Genomic DNA, 19,839 nt, shown 5'->3' with positions numbered 1-19,839 from the left:
CCTGATCAGATTTCACCTGATGACCACCCTATCTCTGGGACTTCTAAAGTCCAATATAAACCAATAAATTTCGGGCCAGGTAGGGTGGCTCACGCCTGTAATCCCAGCACTTTGGGAGGCCAAGGCGGGTGGATCACCTGAGGTCAGGAGTTCGAGACCAGCCTGGCCAACATGGTGAAACCCCGTCTCTATTAAAAATACAAAAATTAGCCTGGCGTGGTGGCGGGTGCCTGTAATCCCAGCTACCTGGGAGGCTGAGGCAGGAGATCTGCTTGAATCTGGGAGGCGGAGGTTGCAGTGAGCCAAGATTGCACCACCGCACTCCAGCCTGGGCAACAAGAGTGAAACTGTCTAAAAAAGAAAAGAAAACAAAACAAAACAAAAAAACTCCCAATAAATTCCCTTTCTTGTTAAACAAAAGTTGAGTTTTATTTTCTATTACTTGCAAGTGAAAACATCCTAACTGATAAATGTGGTAACCATTCTATTATTCACTTAGTGTTCTCAAAATCGCCTATCAAGAAGTCTGTTTTAAATTTATTAAGTCCTGCCAATTTAGTCTATGAATTACTAATTCAGTAATATATTTTCAGAGAATGAAGTATAATCAATGACCTGAAATGCACACACACGCACAATCAAAACTCATAAATAATTGCAGAGTACCTTGTTGCTTTCAATACCAATGAAGGAAGTGACATGTCTAATGCTCTGTTAACTTCCTCCAAGGTCATTCCTTGTGTGCTGACTCCGTTCACATAATGGATGACATCTAATAGCTGGAGATTACCCTCAATGGCTGCGACGGACCTTGGATTAATATCACTAATATATACCACTTGATAAAGGCTGTCATGACCTCCACATAAGGAAAAACCTTGAAATAATAGAAAATATTTGTTTTCTCAGTCATAAAAGTACTTACTCTTAAGCTAACCAAGAAAATCATATTGTACAAAGTTTGACTTTTCATTACCCAACTCCTCTTTGTTGCACGTTAGTGTTATGTCCGGTAGCAAATGAGGCAACATTGGTATTCTGGGTAATTCTAGAACTCGTCCAATAACTAATCTGACTGTTTTGGATGCAGCCCGGAGCAGATTAACTGCATCTGTATGAGTCATATTAGTAACATCTGTATCATTAACCTACAAAAACAAGAAAGGGGCATGTGAAGATCACAATTTTTAGAAAAGAGAAGCTAAATTGCCAAGAAAATACAATAATCCTCCTAATTTATAATATATATTAGCTAGTAAGAGATTCACAACAGTGATCTCTAATTTATTGGTAATCCCCTTTATTATGGAAATCATAGGCACAACGATCAAGCCATTACAATGAAATAATAATGTTAAATCCCTAACAAATGCATCATTATTTTGCTAATCTAGGAAATTCATCCTCTAAGTAATTTAAACTTTCTGTCCTTGAGACCTAAGATAGCTTGTTTTATGCCTTACTGAGATTAAAGGGACTTTCAAATTTGTAAATGACAAGTTAATGGGTGCAGCACACCAACACGGTTCATGTATACATATGTAACAAACCTGCACGTTGTGCACATGTACCCTAGAACTTAAAGTATAGTAAAAAATATATATATATATATATATAAAATAATTTCCCAAACTGTTAACGATATGAAGGCCTTTACTTTTAAGTGGTGGAAACAGAAAGCATAAACCGAATAGATAAATACAGTATTACAATAATTCAATCTTCTTTTTCTGGCTTGCTCTTTGTCTACATTTACACAAATAATCCATTCCTCTTAAATGTCTCACCTTTATGAGCCGGTCCCCAGGTTTTAGCCTTCCATCACTTTTGGCTGGATCCTGTATGACATCATGAACATAACAACCAATTCTCTGATTGCCTTTGGTTACTGTAAAACCCAGGCTTCCTTTTTCTGATTTAATTAGGGTAATGAGGAGTTCTACTTCCTAAGGGAAAAAAGCAGTAATACTTTTAGGTTGTCTATTCTGCACTATAGACAAACAGAAAGATGACTATCATTTCCCTTAACAGAGGAGAAAGTCAAACCTTAAAAGGTTACTTAACTTGTCCAAGTGAAGAAGTCAAGTCTGTCTGACTCTAGACAGTCTGTCTGATTCTAGACAGACTGTCCCCCCACTGCATCCCACGTAAAAGTTATGTTTAAGCACAACATTATGTTTGTCTAGAGACAGCAGAGACAGAATTTACTCCTGCTTTCTTTCTTATATTTTTAGGATAAATAAGGACACAATAGTGGTTATACTTTGATGATCAAAAAATACTTTCTGGAGGAAAGGTTCAGAAAAAAAATTCATATATTTCTAAACAAATGCAAAGAGCCATATATTTCTAAACAGATGCAAAGAGCCACAACAAAGCTTTTTTTTTGGTAAAAATATGAAGTCTTTCGGTGATTATCACAATCTTATTAATTTTGTTGTATAAATAAAATATACTTTTAAAAGATTTCAAATGAGACACGGAGGTTGTTTACAAGGGTGAAAGATTTCTAAGAAAAATTAAAGATTATTTTTACTCTATTGCTAAGAATGAAACTGAAGATGTAGATGCTGCACACCCCTCATCTCCAATACACACATGCACAATTATAGGCAAAAAAAAAAGGGTAACTGGAAATTTAGCTCCAAAATGTTAACAGTTTTGGGGTAATCAGATTATAGTGGCTTTAATCTTCTTCTCTCCTTAATAATTTTTCTACAATAAACATTTATTACTTGGATAATAAAAGCAGTATTTAAAAAGGCTAACTTTCAATCAATGTAAAGGATATTATACTTGGAAATTTTGTTTCTAAATCTTATTTGTAGGTTTAGAAGTTCTAGGACTATTATTACAATGTAAAGGATTCCATCTGAGCACACAAAAAAAGTGTGGAGGAGAAAAAAAAAATTACATTCAAACTTGGTTAAAAATCAAATAGGTAACTCATCAGAATTTGAGAAGCAGACAAAAATAATATTTACTAAGGGTCTACTCTGTAGCAGATACTATACTACGTGCTTTACATATGTTATTTCATTTAATCTTCACCACAACCCTGTGAGGTTACTTGCTCCATTTTATAGTCAAAGTTACCAAGACTCAGAAGAATTAAGTGATTGGTCCATAGGAGTCTGCCAAATTGTAGCAAGTCAGTGGTAGAGTCAGGATTTATACTCAGGTCTTTTTGCCTTATTTCCTAATTTCTCAGCACAGAAACATACCAGATATGTTATCCATTTATTAGACACACATATGAAGCTATTTTAAAGATAGCTTTTTCCCTAAAGGGAAACTTTATGAACACACCTTCTTTTAAAAAATATGGATTTTTTTTTAAATATAGAGAAAACAACTTACCAGTTCAAAGTCTTCAAGGTGATTTTCCAAGTCATTTTTCAAAGGTGTCCAGTTTTCTTGTCTAGTTGGTTCAGAAATGTGATGTATATGATACTTATCCATCGAACTAGAGGAAGCAGATTCTGATTGGGGTTGATAACTCTGCCCAGGAGCCATATCCGGTGGTAGAGGGGAAGGATTACTACAGAGACAAAGAAGTAAGACTATTTTTAAATACATTTCAATGTCAATATGGTTAGTTTGTGCCAGAAACAGAAAACACTTAACAAATATTCATGTCTGATTTTGATTGAGATCCTAGTTACTTTTTGTATGACTCTGGACTATGAATTTACTCCATATCTGTTAAATGTTAAAATTAACAATAATTTATTCTCTGTCTAGGTTTTTTTTGTTGTTGTTGTTGAGACACGGTCTCACTCTGTTGCCCAGGCTGGAGTGCAGTGGTGAAATCTCGGCTCACTGCAGCCTCTGCCTCCCAGGATCAAGTGATTCTCCTGCCGCAGCCACCCAAGTAGCTGGGATTACAAGTGTGTGCCACCATGCCCAACTAATTTTTGTATTTTTAGTAGAGATGGGATTTTGCCATGTTGCCCAGGCTGGTCTCGAACTCCTGAGCTCAGGCAATCTACCTGCCTTGGCCTCCCAAAATGCTGGGATTACAGACGTGAGCCATCGCGCCGGCCTAGGTTCTATTTTGATGAAGCTCTTTAAGCTGCATAAAGTCAGCAAGATAGGTTAAATAAAATTCTTTTGATTTCTAGTTGTTAATTCAAAGCTGAAGCTAATGTTATCAGAAGCTTAATGTGTGTTTCAACATAATAAGGAAAAGAAGAAAGAAGAATAAAAGTCTGACTCCTGTGGTTATTTTGGATAAAATACAAAGGAAAAAAACTTGAATAAATAAAGTTGGATGTGGATAGATACAAAGACATAACCAAAGAGTAAAATGTATGAATAATTATGCAATGTATTGATGTAGTCCTTCTCTTTGTATGCTTCTATGTTTTCAATCATTTCTTCTTTTCCCCATCTTCTTTGTCTTACCTTTTGCAAACTCTCTGCCCTTATCTCCCCTCTATATTTCTGGTCCCTAGTCTCCCACTGTGTTACTGCCTAAATAAGTCTATTCTGTTTCTGTTTAAGTAGTATGATTAACAGTGAAATACAAATAACTTTCTCAGTTACTAGTAAATATGCTCAAGAGGGAAGAAAGACTCAGGCTGACTGACTAGAGAGCTTATTGGTTTGCTAACTAAAACTATCAGTCACAATAGCTAGACATCCAATAGAGTCATCCTCTGCCTAACCACTGTGAAGGTCACAGATACATACATTTCATTCTTAAGAGAAATGCATGTTGCTGCTACTGCTACTAACAACAACCAGTTGCTTTGAGCGGTTCACATTATATTGATGATACCTGTCCTCAAACTCTGGTTTATTGGGAATTTTCTGAGGATAGTAAAACATGGTACAAATGGTATCTTCTTGACTCTTGGGTGCTTCATGATGACTCTGTGCCTGTGATACCATGTTGCTTAGAGTCTGATGCAAAGCTGAACTCCAGGTCGAATTTGATATGTTTGCTGGAGCTGTCACTAAGTCATCTTCTCCACTCCCACTGCTGTCACTGTAACTGTCTCTTCTGGATGGGGACTTGCACTGTTTTTTGCTTTTGTCTGACATTTCATTTTCATCTGAGCTGGTGCTTTGCTCCACACATGATGGCTGAGAAGAGTCTTTACTGCTGTTTGGAAGTACTTGTGCTGGAGACTGAAGTGGGGTCTGTAATGGACACATTTAAAGAGATTTGTGACCATTCTATGAATTTTAGAAGCATTTATTTGAAAATAAACCATTGAACAACTTTCTACTAAAGTATGCATTGAATTTTCTGATGATAAAAGTAATTTATGTTCAATAGAGAAAATAATATATAAAATAACAGTTAATATTGTACAATTTATACCTTAAGTTAGAACTACAGTAGTATTATATATTTTGTCTCATACTCTCAAAAATTAGGGTTCTACCATAAATATTTTCTTAAGTCCTTAAATATGCTTTAAAACAATTTTAATACCTGTATAATGGTCCAATGGATGGCTATACCTTTATTTCTGCCTTCTCCTTTTATTGGACAGAGTTGTTTCTACCTTTTCATTATTAATAGAAATCTAGAAGAACTTCTTTGTATGTAAATTTTTACCTGAGTTTCTATTACTTTGTAATTTTCTATACTGTCAGAATATAGGCCATTTTTAATAGCCTAATTAAGTATTTCCAAATTGTTTTCTAAAAACTGATACCAACTTATACGCTCATCAAGAGAGTTTCATTCACTTTTTCCTATCTGGTGCCTCAAATCAATGTAGTCCTTTAAAATGCTATTTATAATGCATCTTACAGAAATGTTATTTTCCTATTAAAGAGATTTTTAACCATTGTTTTGCAGATGAGGAATAACAGTTTGTGACCTGCTCAACATAATAACTAGTATCAGTGCCCATTAAAATGCCTGAAGTCAGTACTTGATAAATCCTAGTTAAATAAATTGAATAAATTACTTTGTATTATTATATAAATATGGAATACATTCAAAGAAGTTGTCACATACAAGATAACATGCCTACCTAAAACAAGTAGCTAGGTATGAAACCCAGGAGAACAATTCATGATGAAACCACCACAGCTGAATTAGTTAGTTGCTAAGTTGATATTCTATAAAACTGTAAATTACTTTTCATAAGTCTCACCAAAAGCGCAGTATCAATTTCCGGTAGCACACCAGGTGGAGGTCTGCAGAGAAGCAAGAATACTTCTGGAGCAGTTCCCCTGAGAGCAGATATGACTTCCTGGGGGTACCATGAATGACAAATGAAGGTACAGTTAAACCAGCATTATGAAACCATTCTGAAAGGCCAATCCATCTCATCATTAAAAATGCTATACTCCACATGCTAGGGGCTCACCTGCTGAGATAGTCCTTTCAAAGAGGCTCCATTCACTTTCAAGATAACATCTCCTACATCAATTTTTCCACTTTCTGCTGCTGGCTGTCCAGGAAAGAGCTTTTTAACCCTTACTATGCTGGCATTAATTTGCTCCGGTATAAGATTATCTTCTCGAGAAAAACTGAATCCTAGACCTGAGCTATTTTTAAATAATTTTACCTCAAATGTATTTTCTGGAGAAAAAGATATAAAAAAAATTTAGATATTATTAACATGCTGTGTTTACATAGGAACATACAAACATATATACTTCTAGACACATTTTAAAAGCCCATTTTCCCGTATTTATAGCTCTGTATGTACTTACTGCACTCCAATGGTATACTGAAGCTGTATCTTACAGTCTATTTCCATCATTAAGAAATCTTATCAACTAACTGCATGAACTAAGCTGTTTGATTAGGAAGGAGAGTTCTGAAAGTAGGATTCTGAAAATGGAATTATGCATCAAACTTGTGTGTTTTAAAAGACACTATGGTCAGGCACAGTGGCTCATGCCTATAAACCCCAGTACTTTGGGAGGCCGAAGTAGGAGGGTTGCTTGAACCCAGGAGTTTGAGACCAGCCTGGGCAATACAGTGAGATCCAATCTCTACAAAAACAAAACAAAACAGAGTACGATAACAGACAAAAAAAGGGGAAACTCCACAGAAGGACAGGTATGGGAGAAACTCAGGTATACAGCGTGAGAAAGATGAAAAGAAGAACAAAATAAATGTTAGAGGAGGTTATGTGGAAATAAATTGAAATTGTAATGTTCTGGGGAGGTGTAATTTAACTCAGATAAATTGCAATATTTCAATAAATTTCTTATCAGCTAAATAAATTAAAAGAACAATAACCAGAAAATAATTAAAAAATACATTTAAAGTCTTTGCTCATGGTTGGCTTGGGTGTTTAAAAAAAAAATCTATTTAAAGAAAGAATGATGGGGCTGGGTGTGGTGGCTCACACCTGTAATCCCAGCATTTTGGGAGGCTGAGGAGGGCGGATCACCTGAGGTCAGGAGTTCAAGACCAGTTTGGCCAACATGGTGAAACCCCGTCTGTACTAAAAATACAAAAATTAGCCGCATGTGGCAGTGTGTGCCTATAATCTCAGCTACTCAGGAAGCTGAGGCAGGAGAATAGCTTGAACCCAGGGGCGGAGGTTGCAGTGAGCCAAGATTGCGCCACTGTACTCCAGCCTGGGCAACAGAACGAGACTCTGTTTCAAAAAAAAAAAAAAAAAAAGATGGAAGAAATAAAGAATAAAGAGCAGTATGATAAAATGAGTACATTAATTTTATTTTCATATTCAGGAAAAAATAATATAGTCTGTGTTATTTTTTCTCATTATTTTGGGGACTGATTCAGAGTTGCTAACGTTTGTGTAAAATAAAACAATGACTGTACACCATCACCATCATTTATAAAGTAAAGGAAATATAAACCTCTTAAGAAGACAGAATCTTAAAGGGTACTGGAAAGCCACTGTCATTCTTAATTTTCTTACTACCAATTAGTGATCTGTCCAAAGGCTAGCATAGTTTGTAACAAAGACCACTTTCTGGGCACTACTATGTGAATATCTGCCCAGAGTTTGATTCACAGTTCTTAAAATTAAATTAAATAGAAATACAAAAATCTAAGGGTCAAGGTTTCCCATGGGTTTGAAGGCATCTCAGCATTTGTTTTTCTTTATTTTTTCACTTACCAAATTCTATTTTGAATTTTACAACAATTTAAAGCATTTTTAAAAGACCATAATCATGCATGACTTTATTATCCAAAGTCTTTCAGACCCTATGAGCTGCAAATATGTTTCTGTCTTTATTCAGTATGGTGTGATGTCAGATTATTATTTGTACTTGACAAGAATAATGAACAAAACTAGGGCATTAACTGTAATCCAACATGTAAAAATCAAATTTTGAATAGGCGAGGAATAATTTAAAGGTGAGATTGTAGTCTCCCAAGGCCTGACCTTCAGTGACAAAGCTGTAGTCTTTGACCTGAGTTGTTTTCTTCACTTTTTCTGGGCCTTGACCTTGGGCATTCTGATCTGAAAGGGTACACTGTGGGGTTACCGGGACATGTTCTTTAGATGTTGGAGATTGTCCCTTTTCTAATAACAGATGAACCACCTGGATAAGTAAAATAGCATTTCATTAATTAAGAAGAATGCTAAGAAAATAGATACATTTTCAGGACTTTGTATAGTTAATGGTATAAAATCATTTAAAGTAACTACCAAATTTGGTCCACCAAATGAAGGGGGAGAAAAAAAAAATAGAGGAACAAAAGCAAGGGGTTGAAAGTTCCAAAATCAAGTTTTTATTACATTTCTGTATAGAAAGATAAATGATTAAAAAGAATCTATTATAAATATAATACATGTTAGAAATGTATGATAATGGCCAGGTGGAGTGGCTCATGCTGGTAATCCTAACACTTTGGGAGGCCAAGGTGGGCAGATCACCTGAGGTCAGAAGTTGGAGACCAGCCTGGCCAACATGGTGAAACCCCATCTCTACTAAAAATATAAAAATTAGCCAGGTGTCGTGGTGGGCACCTGTAATCCCAGCTACTTGACAGGCCGAGGCAGGAGAATTGCTTGACTCTGGGAGGCGGAGGTTGCAATGAGCCGAGGTCATGCCATTGCACTCCAGCCTGGGTGACAAGAGCGAAATTCCATCTCAATTAAAAAAAAAAAAAAAAGCCAGGTGTGGTGGCTCACGCCTGTAGTCCCACTGTAGTCCCAGCACTTTGGTAGGCTGGGGCAAGAAGATCACTTCTTGTCTAGGAGTTCGAGACCAGCATGGGCAACATAGGGAGACCCCCCGCCCCCAATCTCTACAAGAAATAAAAAATAAACTAGCCAGGCATGGTGGCACAAGCCTGTAGTCCCAGCTACTTGGGAGACTGAGGCAGGGGGATCACCTGAGCCTGGGAAGTCAAGGTTGCAGTGAGCCGTGATTGCGCCACTGCACTCCAGCCTGGGCCTCACAGCAACACCCTGTCTCAAAACAACAACAAAAACCTCCAAAGACCATTATAGATAATTTGGTTAAACTCCCTAACTCAAAATGTACTTCAACAAAATAAATTTTGTGTTAAGGCTAAAGAATAAGAGTGAAAACCACTAGAAATGAGATGTTTATACAACAAATTTAAAATGCAATTTCCATCCCTCCCCCATCAGATCTCTTTGGTAATGTAAGCGTTAAATGTGACATAGAAAGTCAGCTTCCTCAGTAAAAAATGTCTTGTAATACTTGCATTTCAATTTGGAAGGAAAAATCAACAACCCAGATGGTTATATATATCAGGCTTGGTTTCTTGATTAGCTGACAAATTTAGAGATCTCAATGAGAACTGATGTTATTCACACATTGTTTTGCTCTTCTAAGGTACTGTAAAAGGTTGGTATAATGATCTGTTACCTGTCCTGTATTTCTCAGTGTTTCCACAGCTTGCTTATGGGTGGCTCCTTCTAGACTAACTCCATTGACAGCTAGGACGCGATCACCTAAAAATTAGGCAGTTCAAATCATAAATAAAAATCCTACATGTTCTTTTAAATCTTATGGTCTTATTTCGTATTCATTTGTTTGAGGAGGGACTCAGGCAAATTCTGGAAGAAATTGTGTTACAGAGTTTCTTTAATATGTTATTTAATTTATTCCCCAATCTTATGTCTAATGTTAAGTATATTTTAGAACAGTATCTTTATAAAAATAAATTTAAATCAAGAGAGAAGATAAGTTGAACTATAAATATATAGAGATTGGAGGAAAGTTCCTAGTTAGTCCTTACTAAAAGTGTAGATATCAGGCTGGGCTCAGAGGCTCACGCCTGTAATCCCAACACTTTGGGAGGCCAAAGTGGGGGGATCACCTGAGGTCAGGAGTTCGAGACCAGCCTGGCCAACATGGTGAAAACCTGTCTCTACTAAAAATACAAAAATTAGCCCGGCATGGTGGTGGGCGCCTGTAGTCCCAGCTACTTGGGAGGCTGAGGCACAAGAATCATTTGAACCCAGGAGGCGGAGGTTGCAGTGAACTGAGATCGCACCACTGCACTCCAGCCTGGGTGACAGAGTGAGACTCTGTCTCGAAAAAAAAAAACAACAACAAAAAAAACAAGTGTAGATGACAGTGTTTTTACAGCAATTTGCTTCATAGTACATGTAAAATATGAATGAAAGCACTGTCTAGATATTTTCTTTCCTTTTTAATTTTTTTAACTTCTCACACAATGTTGATGTATAGATATCTTCTGATACTAGAAAATAAGCTGGAAAGAAGAGTTTTTGAAATGGCATCAAAGAGTTTCTTAATGCTACAGTTTTATAATTGAGTATGTTCTTATTTCATATCATGAATTTGAAGGTCAGTTATCAACTTTATAATTTCTTATCTATTTGTTGTAATATTCATACATATAATTCCCACATAATATAAACACTATACCTTTGTGAATTCTACCATCAGACTCTGCTGCTCCCTGGGGAATAACAGCTTTCACATAAATGCCACCATGTCTGACACTCGTATTCACACCTCCCTAAAGAGAAAAAGACAAAATAATATTTTATAACATGAAAAATTTTGCACTCTCTTTCAAATCTCAGGCCTAGAAAGGATTCATTAGCCAAAGCAGTGACATCCCATCAGCATGTGCTGATGTACAGTATATTCATTAGTATACTAATGAGGGATATTATATTCATCAGTATAATTCAAAAATAATTTTATCAAATAGCCTATGCTCACATTCTGACTACCTTAAAGATACATATATTCCTTGGGAACTTCTAATTTTAAGATACTAACATGTTTACAAGGTATTACATATTATGGAGAGTATACAGAAATATACAGTCTTTAATTACTAATAATGTAGGTTAGAGATATATAATCTATGCTCACGTAGAAACTGTCAAATATCTACAAAGCATTACATTAATTTTACAATTTGCAAGTTTTATATTCAGATAAAGCAAGTATTAAATCTATGGAGAAAAAGGTAGTGTTTGTCTAATTTTTTTAAAATCACAGGAAAAAGTGACTAACACAATTTTTAAAATAGTTTTTAGATATGATTCAGTTTTAGAATTTTGGAGGTATTTGATGTGTCCCTTTTGATGCAAAATAATTCAATTAAAAAGTTGACATACAATAGGCTGCTGGAAATTAAAGAAGAGAAAACATTTGAAAACCTTGTCAAACAGTACCGTGACACTTATCCCCAAGCTGTTATCATTTTTAGCCAGTTCAACCTCAAAGATATCTCCAGGCTTAGGAGGTGATGAAGAAAAAGTTTTAAAATTCATCTTGTTGGATGTATTCACTGAAGAGGAAGATTCCTTAACAAAGAAAAACAAACAAAGATTTCTTGTTAGAGTCAAAATGAATTATAATTTTTCTTTTTTTAATTTCTTTTTTTTTAAACCTAGCCCAGGACAAAGCTGGCTAGAATCAAAATGAATTATTACTGAAAGACAAATATGTGTTTTTGGAAAAATTATGAAAAAGCAAGATATTAAAGGATAGAGTATAGTCAAAGAACATAAAGGTTGGAAGAGATCTTAGAGATCATCTAGTCCAATGTATTCATATTTTATGGTTGAGGAAACTGATATCCAGAGATTAAAGAGCTTGCTTCAGGTCAAACTGCTAGATATGGCAGATGGAAACCTATATAGAACCCAGTTCAAACCTGGCTTTTATATAATCCTGGTCCAATGCTTTTTATATTCCTAAATTTACAAATTAGTTTTATTTCCTTTAATAATCAATATATATCAAGCAGTAGCTTTTAACCCAAGCCTCTAAAATGGGATTTCATGTTTACATTACTTATATTTATAAATCCAATAATATAAACATGGGAACAACAGCTAAGCCCTATTTATAAGAGTATAACTCTTATAAGGAATGTTGATTTTTCAGTAAACAAAAGGCGTTAGATTTTTTTCTAAAACTGCTTGTGAATTTGAGTTTAAATTTGTATCATTTCTAGGAATAAGCTACTCTCTTTCTTCCCTTCCTTATCTCTCTCCCTCCCTTCCTCCTTTCCTTCCCTTCTTTCTGTTAGGGTCTGGCTCGATCGCCTGGGCTTCTGGGCTTAAGCGATCCTCCCACCCAGCCTCCCAAGGAGCTAGGACTACAGATACATGCCACCTTGCCTGGATAATTTTTTAAGAAATGTTTTGTAGAGATAGGGTCTCCCTATGTTGCCCAGGCTGATCTTGAACTCCTGGCCTCAAGCAATCCTCCCACCTCTGCTTCCCAAAGTGTTGGGATTATAGATGTGGGTCACTGTGCCCAGCCAGAATGAGCTATTTTCAATGTCGTTATCATCATTCATTCAGAACTTCAGAAGAATTTAGACTATAAATAGTGAATTCAAATGCCCATTATACGAACTATTTAGAAACAATTTTCAGATATTAAAATTCTCTTATTAATACAAACATTAAATATGCCAGAGACAAACAACTGGTAAGAAAACAATCATAATCTGCATATTCCTTCTTTGGGTTATTAGATAGCAAGTTTGCAAAGTCATAGCCATTTAAAGTTATTATCCAAAGCTGTTGATTTCTCTGAAAGTTAGCATCAAATGCAGTAGCAATTAGAAGATATAAACTATTTCTTTTTTCCAGAATAATGAAAGCATCTTGTAGATTATTGTGCTCTGTAACTTATTTGCTGCTATTTTGCTTTGTTAAATGAGAAAACCAAAATATTAAAATTAAACTATGCCTGTTTTGGTGTTTGATGATCCTGACTGCTGGAGTAAGTGGCTTCATCCATGTCTGAATCTCCACGGTCTGAGTAATCAGTTACATCAGAAATGCCTGGCTTTTTAGTTTTGCTTTGGTTACTATCAGTGAAAGTCTCTTTCTCGGTGGCTTTGGATATTACAGATGGGGAAGGGCTGCCATGCTGTGATTCCTGCCAGGTTTGGTCACCTAAATGGCTGGCAAAGAAACCATTGACCTGGCTTTGAGACAAGCTGGCACTCTCAGTCCTGGAATCTTGAGAACTCAGGCTTCCTTCCCGCAGGCCCCCAGATGGCCCAAAGGAGTTCTCCGAGATGTGCCTCAGGGTACCACGTGACCAGTGGTGATCCTTGGAAGAAGAATCTATAGCACTGTCTTGCATGTAGGAAGATTTCTTCATGTAGTTTTTCATCTCATTGGTGAGATGCACAGGAGTAGAAGGCACTAAAAGTCAAAATCCATCAATGAGAGTAACAAGTTAGTGATACACGTGCTTACACACATACACAATGTTTCTTGAAGATTGTTGGAAGGATTTTATAAGGATGACACACAAAACACCATTAGGTCATGTGTTTGGTAGACTTTCTTTGCTTTCTCCTTTGGTCATTCTTGTGACAACCTCTATTGAAATGCATACCCCTTTCACCTTAACTCCCCATTTCCATTCTCCAAGATCCATTTCAAACCAGGCTTCTCTGTGGAGACTCTACTGATTCCACAGATAATTTATACTTTCTTAGTGTCCCACATTCTTTGTCCTTATTAAATAGTTATTTGCACACTTACTTTATATTGACCTACTAGATTGCACTTTTTGGACTCCAAGTGATTATCATGGAAGGCAACTCCAAATTGCTTATATATAGTTCTTATCAAAAGCCACTTTAGGCCAAGCGCAGTGGCTCATGCCTGTAATCCTGTAATCCCGGCACTTTGGGAGGTTGAGGCAGGCAGATCACTTGAGGCCAGGAGTTCGAGACCAGCCTGCCCAACATGGTGAAACCCTGTCTGTACCAAAAATACAAAAATTAGCTGGGCGTGATGGTGTGCACCTGGAGTCCCAGCTGCTCGGGAGGCTGAGGCAGAAGAATCACTTGAACCTGGGAGGCGGAGCCTGCAGTGAGCAGTGATTGTGCTACTGCACTTCAGCCTGGGTGACAGGGCAAGACTGTCTCAAAGAACAAACAAACAAAACGCCACTTGAAAAAGCTTTCTGAAGACACAAACCACCAAAGACACGTGTAAAGGAATTAAAGATGAGAATTTATATGAAATTAAAAGTTTTATGTAGTAATTGACAACAAGGGAAAAATTAAGAGTAATGAGCAACTGGAGAGAAAATATTTGTGACAACAAACAATAAACAAAGAATTAGTATCCCTAATATACAAAGAGTTGCTAAAATTCAACAAAAAAGAGGTTTTCAAAACTCCCACGGAACAAGGGATATGTAGACTGGAAATTCAGAGTAAAATACAAATAGTAAATATATGAAAAGACATTCTCACTATTGCTCAGGGACCTGCAGTTTAATGCAGTTCTCTACTTATTTGGCTGACAAAAATGAGAATGACTGATAATTTTAAGCACCACTGATGGTATGAGGAGAAAAGCACTGCTATATCTACTTGGTTAGTCTATAAATTGGTAAAACTTTTTGAAGTCCAATTTGGTGGCACTTGTCAAAATTTTAATGTACATACTCTTTAATCTAGTTCCAGGCATCTAACCTCTAGAAATACATACATTTTCAATGGTGTATTAAAAGGTGTATTTGTTGGAGTAACATTTATAATAGAATTATAGCTAACCTGGATACATAACAATAGAAGAAAAGTTAAGTAAGTTTTGATATGTCTATAACATAAATATAATGTTGCATTAAAAAGATATGCATGTACATGGATAGCAACAGAATATGTTGAGTAAGCAGTTACAGAATGGTATTTAGAGTATAAAACAGATTTTTAAAAAATAGTGTGTGTATGTGTTGTGTTTATATATATATATATATATATATATATATATTTACACACACACACACATCACATATATATCTATTCTACACAGAAGGCTACATGTATGCCAAAAAGTTTCCCTAGGAAATGGGGTAAGGGGACTTCAACTTCTTATTTCATAGGTTTTGCATAAATTGGATTTATTTTTAATAAACTAGTATGTATTCTGTAACTTTAAAAATTAGCAAACAAAAACAAAACTAAAAGCCTTCCTCTTTGGTGCTTAACAATTAACAGGGGTAGCTAGAATACACATTGGTAATTTTCTAAGTTCTTTTGGGTTTTACCTCTTTTCAAAGTGACACTACAGAATAGTTACATACCATGATAAGATTCACCTACTTTCTGAAGAAACAATTTCACAGGTGTATACTTTTAACATTATGCTTTTAATTTTTATTTAGCATGGACAGAAAAAAAAACCACACAAAACTCTGCTGAGAAGAAAAGGCTCCTCTGATCCTCACAATAGGTAAAGTTCCTCTGTTATATTCCCTCTTGGCACCTTGGGCCTCTTGTTAACACTTACCATAGTTACAATTAAAAATCTGTCTAGTCAGACAAGAATACTTGCCTCCCCTGATAAAGAGTAACTTCCATTAGGGCAGAGTTTTTTGTCTTGCACATCACAGGCACTGAATAAATATTTGTTGGACAAATGAATAAATTTTCTACAAAACATCTACTGAAAACATGAGTAAGATGGAAATCCCTTAGAGCTTTATTCAGGGGGCAATAAATTTATTCTGCATTCCTATGATTCAGAAATGGTTAAAAAATGGTGAATAATGGGACCCAATGTAAAATTTCTAGTCTTGGCTGCTTTAAACTTAGAAGTATGTTACAACATTTCCAACTGTAGTTGTCTTCCTTTGCCTAATGTGACTAGATTATAATTAGATTATATAAAGTTCCTGTGGGCAGTGGTGGTGTTTTCTATTTCCCTTCTATCGATTGTGTTTGCTCACAGTAAACAAGTGTGTAACATATTATTTATATGTGTACATATACAGACATACAAAATATATATAATATCCAGTAAGAAGAAATCATACTCAAAATGACTCATCTATATAAAATTTAATAAGATTTTATCACAACATATAACATGTTCATGTTTTTCATCTTCTATTTTATCATAAGAATCCAAAGCTATGTCTAAAATTGTTTTTCAGCTAATTTTTTTTACTAATTCTTTTATGTATTTCCCAATATCTTTGGCATGAAGGTAACTTACTTGTATCTAGCACTTCAATGTTTTTGAAAAACAATATTAATGACAGCTAAAATTCACATTTAAATGCTTCATATGTACCAGGCAATGTGCTCATTCTTTACATGTATTATCTCATTTAATTTTCATAATCTATAAGATAAGCATGTTTATAGTCACCATTTGATATACGAGCACAGTGAGGCTTAGAAGGTTCATGTGATTTTGCTCAATGTGTACAGTTTTAGGTGGTAGAAACAGAATCTGACCCTGGATTCTGCAACCCTCCCTGTTTCCCACTGCACTGTTCTACGCCACAGGGGCCTATTGTGCTTCTTCCACAAATACTGTCCTACCACTTGATCCTCGTAACAAATAACTCTGTGCAAGGCAGACAAAGCAGGGCAAAGATCACTGTCTACTCTTTAAGTAAAAACAAAAGAAAACTATGGCTCAAGAAGGCTTAAGTCATATAGCTAATAAAAGGCACAGGCAAAGCTCAAACGCAGGTCATCTGATCTTCATCAAGTGCTTTGTCTCTCAGCCACTGAAGACTGGGATAATGAGACAAAATGATATGGTTTTGTTTTAAAATTTCTGGTTTTTGGTGGTGGTCCTTTCCTTTTCATCATCTGGTTCAGGACAGGACTTTATATATAACTATTATGTAATATTAACTACACAATGATAAATGACTCTATCTCTGATTTGACAAAAGAAAGATGGAACACATTAAGTAATCACAGTTTACTTAAGTTGCATCAATTTTGTACACAATGAATCCATTTTTGTGCGAATATCACTAAAAAGGAATGAGACAGAAAAGTGAAACAGAATACATAAGTAAGAGACATTCACATTACCTTTGGATATCTTTTCTTTTGGCTGAGAGATAACAAGTGTCACATCTTCAGGTGCATTTTGCAAAATTTCAATTGCAGCATGGTGGCTGACTCCCTCCAGACTCACACTATTCACAGATATCAAACGGTCTCCTGTACAAATAGACAATCCAGTATTTTCAACAACAAAGATACATTTATTCTGAATCTTAGAAATATCATCTCTTTCTCAATTATTTTAGTTTGGCCTAAGTTCCTAAATTCATGCCTGTCAGAAAATACTTAGAAAACTACCAAAATGTAAAGTACCTGGCTTCAAGCATCCATCCAAGTCAGCTGGTCCTCCAGGGGCAACTGAACTGATAAATATGCCTAGGTCCAGTCTTCCCATCTTCTCCCCACCAATAATTTGAAATCCTGTAAAATAACACATTTTAAAAAGATTTTCATATTGCTGCTTTCAAAGACTAATGATTAGCCTGCCTGAAACACAGAAATGTGGGGACTATTGATATCAAATGATTAGTAGGTAACACATATTAAATTTTGTGGAAGTATTTCTTGTAGGCATTTCTTATTAGGCATTTGGTGACTGGGCGGGTAGGTTGATGGGCTTGTAGGTGGGCAGCCAGTCAGTATCTTGAGACCAGAAGTGAGCTGGCACTGCAATGCCAATGCTATGCTATAGACTTTTCCTCTGAATCCCCAACAATCATAGACCTTCAAGAATCTCACGGTGACTTACCCAAGCCATACTTTGCATCTTTTTTCAGGTTCACTAAGGTGATCTCCCTTTCTGGTGAAGATACTATGCTCCATCTTTTGTGTAGCACATCTATTGGGAATTTATAATTTAAAAATAAATATAACATGCTCAGGCATTAAGACTGTCAGCTTGTTTTAACAATTTAAATGTTAACAAAGTGTGTTAATTGCTCAGTCACTTAAACATATATTTTAAGTTTACTGATACTGTTAACATTTTATATTTTTATAGTGATTTATAATTTATAAAATGACTACGTATTACATTTATTCTTCATAAGCTATTCTTTTGAAATAAGTATATTTCAGTTACAAATGATTAAATAAACCTCAATAGGTTAAATGATTTGCACAAGTTTAGTCAGCTAGTACAGGAAAGAGCCGAACTTTTCAATTTAGGTTTTCTGTTTGTTACACCATAATCAACTCCCTGAATTTGACAGTGCTTAATATATTAAAAAATTCCTTCTAATTAATGGTTGGCATTTTAATTTATAACTGGTAAAATATTCTTAGTAAGTTCTTGAGTAAAATAGCAAGAGGAAACTGGATTTTTTTTTTTTTTTTGAGACAGAGTCTTGCTTTGCTACTCAGGATAAGTGTAGTGGCATAATCACAGCTCACTGTAGCCTTGACTCCTGGGCTCAAGCAGATCCTCCCACCCCAGCTTCCTGAATAGCTAGTACGACAGGCACGTGCCAACATGCCCAGCTAATTTTTTATTTTTGTAGAGATGGAGTCTATGTTGCCCAGACTGGTCTTGAACTCCTGGCCTCAAGTGATCCTCCTATCTAGGCCTCCAAAAGAGCTGGAATTTCAGGTGTGAGCCACGGTACCTGGTCAGAAACTGGATCTATTAATAGTTCCATTAATAATTCCTTGTCTAGCACATGTACTCTCAAAGGATCTTCATTCATTTCAAATTTTATTTGTGAAACAATCTCACAAGTAAGTAAAGAGATTTTTAACCATTGTTTTGCAGATGAGGAGTAACAGTTAGTGACCTGCTCAACATAATAACTAGTATCAGTGCCCATTAAAATGCCTGAAGTCAGTCCTTGATAAATCCTAGTTAAATAAATTGAATAAATGTCATAATCAGAACTAGAATTTACTCTTTCTTATTTCCACTAGGTTTTTTAAAGTAGGCTAATCATTCACAATTAACTTCTGAAACCAATAAATATGACACTTAATTGACATGTTTATCAAGTTAATTCATCTACTTCGCAATTCAAGCATTTACACAAACACACACTTCTTAACATCAATTACAATGACAGTTCAAATTGGTCTGTGTGTGAAGGTGTTGGTGGTGGTCAGTTCGTTCAACATATTCCTAAGGATATTTTTGTAAAGTGAATTTTCAAATTCAACTCTACATACTTCTCAACTATATTGAAGCTTTCTGAAAATTAGAGGTTTTGGTTTCACTAAACTGTAAGCCAGAATTTCCTTAGACCTTCATATGCATTTTTGTAACAACCAAATCAGTATGAAAACAGACTTTATTTCTGTATGTGCAACATATAACCACCCATGGACTTAAAATTGCATTAATATGTCACAAAACAAATAGTAATTTTGTCACAAAACTTGTATTGATGCTTAAATGATGTAAATGTGATACTTCATATTGTATAAATAAATTCCTTTAATTTCAAAAGACAATAACAACAATAATTTCCTCTCAGGAGTGAATTAGCCTTGTATCTCAATACTGTTTTGATGCAAGTTTGCTAGATCTCTGTAGAGTATATATTCCTATTCTGTTGTTTCTTTTTGACCAAAACTTAGTTATTAGCAATAAGAGTAGTGGTAATTCGGTATTTCTAATGATTTTATTAATT

General features: G+C 35.5%; 1 protein-coding gene across 24 annotated transcripts in view; it reads right to left on the bottom strand.

The window, feature by feature from the left end:
• PTPN13 (protein tyrosine phosphatase non-receptor type 13) overlaps window positions 1-19,839 on the bottom strand; it is a 220,847-nt gene that overhangs the window by 38,843 nt on the left and 162,165 nt on the right. For 12 of the 24 annotated variants that reach the window (XM_011532165.3, NM_080685.3, XM_017008512.3 and 9 more), the window contains 15 exons: window positions 17,970-18,059; window positions 17,534-17,641; window positions 17,246-17,377; window positions 13,129-13,592; window positions 11,580-11,726; window positions 10,831-10,924; window positions 9,802-9,887; window positions 8,343-8,502; window positions 6,336-6,550; window positions 6,120-6,218; window positions 4,784-5,148; window positions 3,361-3,541; window positions 1,788-1,946; window positions 977-1,148; window positions 667-877 (listed from right to left, as the gene is read on the bottom strand). In XM_011532165.3, coding sequence (XP_011530467.1) covers window positions 667-877; window positions 977-1,148; window positions 1,788-1,946; window positions 3,361-3,541; window positions 4,784-5,148; window positions 6,120-6,218; window positions 6,336-6,550; window positions 8,343-8,502; window positions 9,802-9,887; window positions 10,831-10,924; window positions 11,580-11,726; window positions 13,129-13,592; window positions 17,246-17,377; window positions 17,534-17,641; window positions 17,970-18,059 — 2,683 coding nt within the window. The remainder of the gene's footprint in view (window positions 1-666; window positions 878-976; window positions 1,149-1,787; window positions 1,947-3,360; window positions 3,542-4,783; window positions 5,149-6,119; window positions 6,219-6,335; window positions 6,551-8,342; window positions 8,503-9,801; window positions 9,888-10,830; window positions 10,925-11,579; window positions 11,727-13,128; window positions 13,593-17,245; window positions 17,378-17,533; window positions 17,642-17,969; window positions 18,060-19,839) is intronic. The other 12 variants (XM_017008511.3, NM_080683.3, XM_017008513.3 and 9 more) reach the window with 1 other exon arrangement.

This window comes from Homo sapiens, chromosome 4, assembly GCF_000001405.40.
Source record: "Homo sapiens chromosome 4, GRCh38.p14 Primary Assembly".
Taxonomy (NCBI): Eukaryota; Metazoa; Chordata; class Mammalia; order Primates; family Hominidae; genus Homo; species Homo sapiens.
The sequence above is the reverse complement of the archived record's forward strand: the minus strand, read 5'-3'. Positions and strand labels throughout refer to the sequence as shown.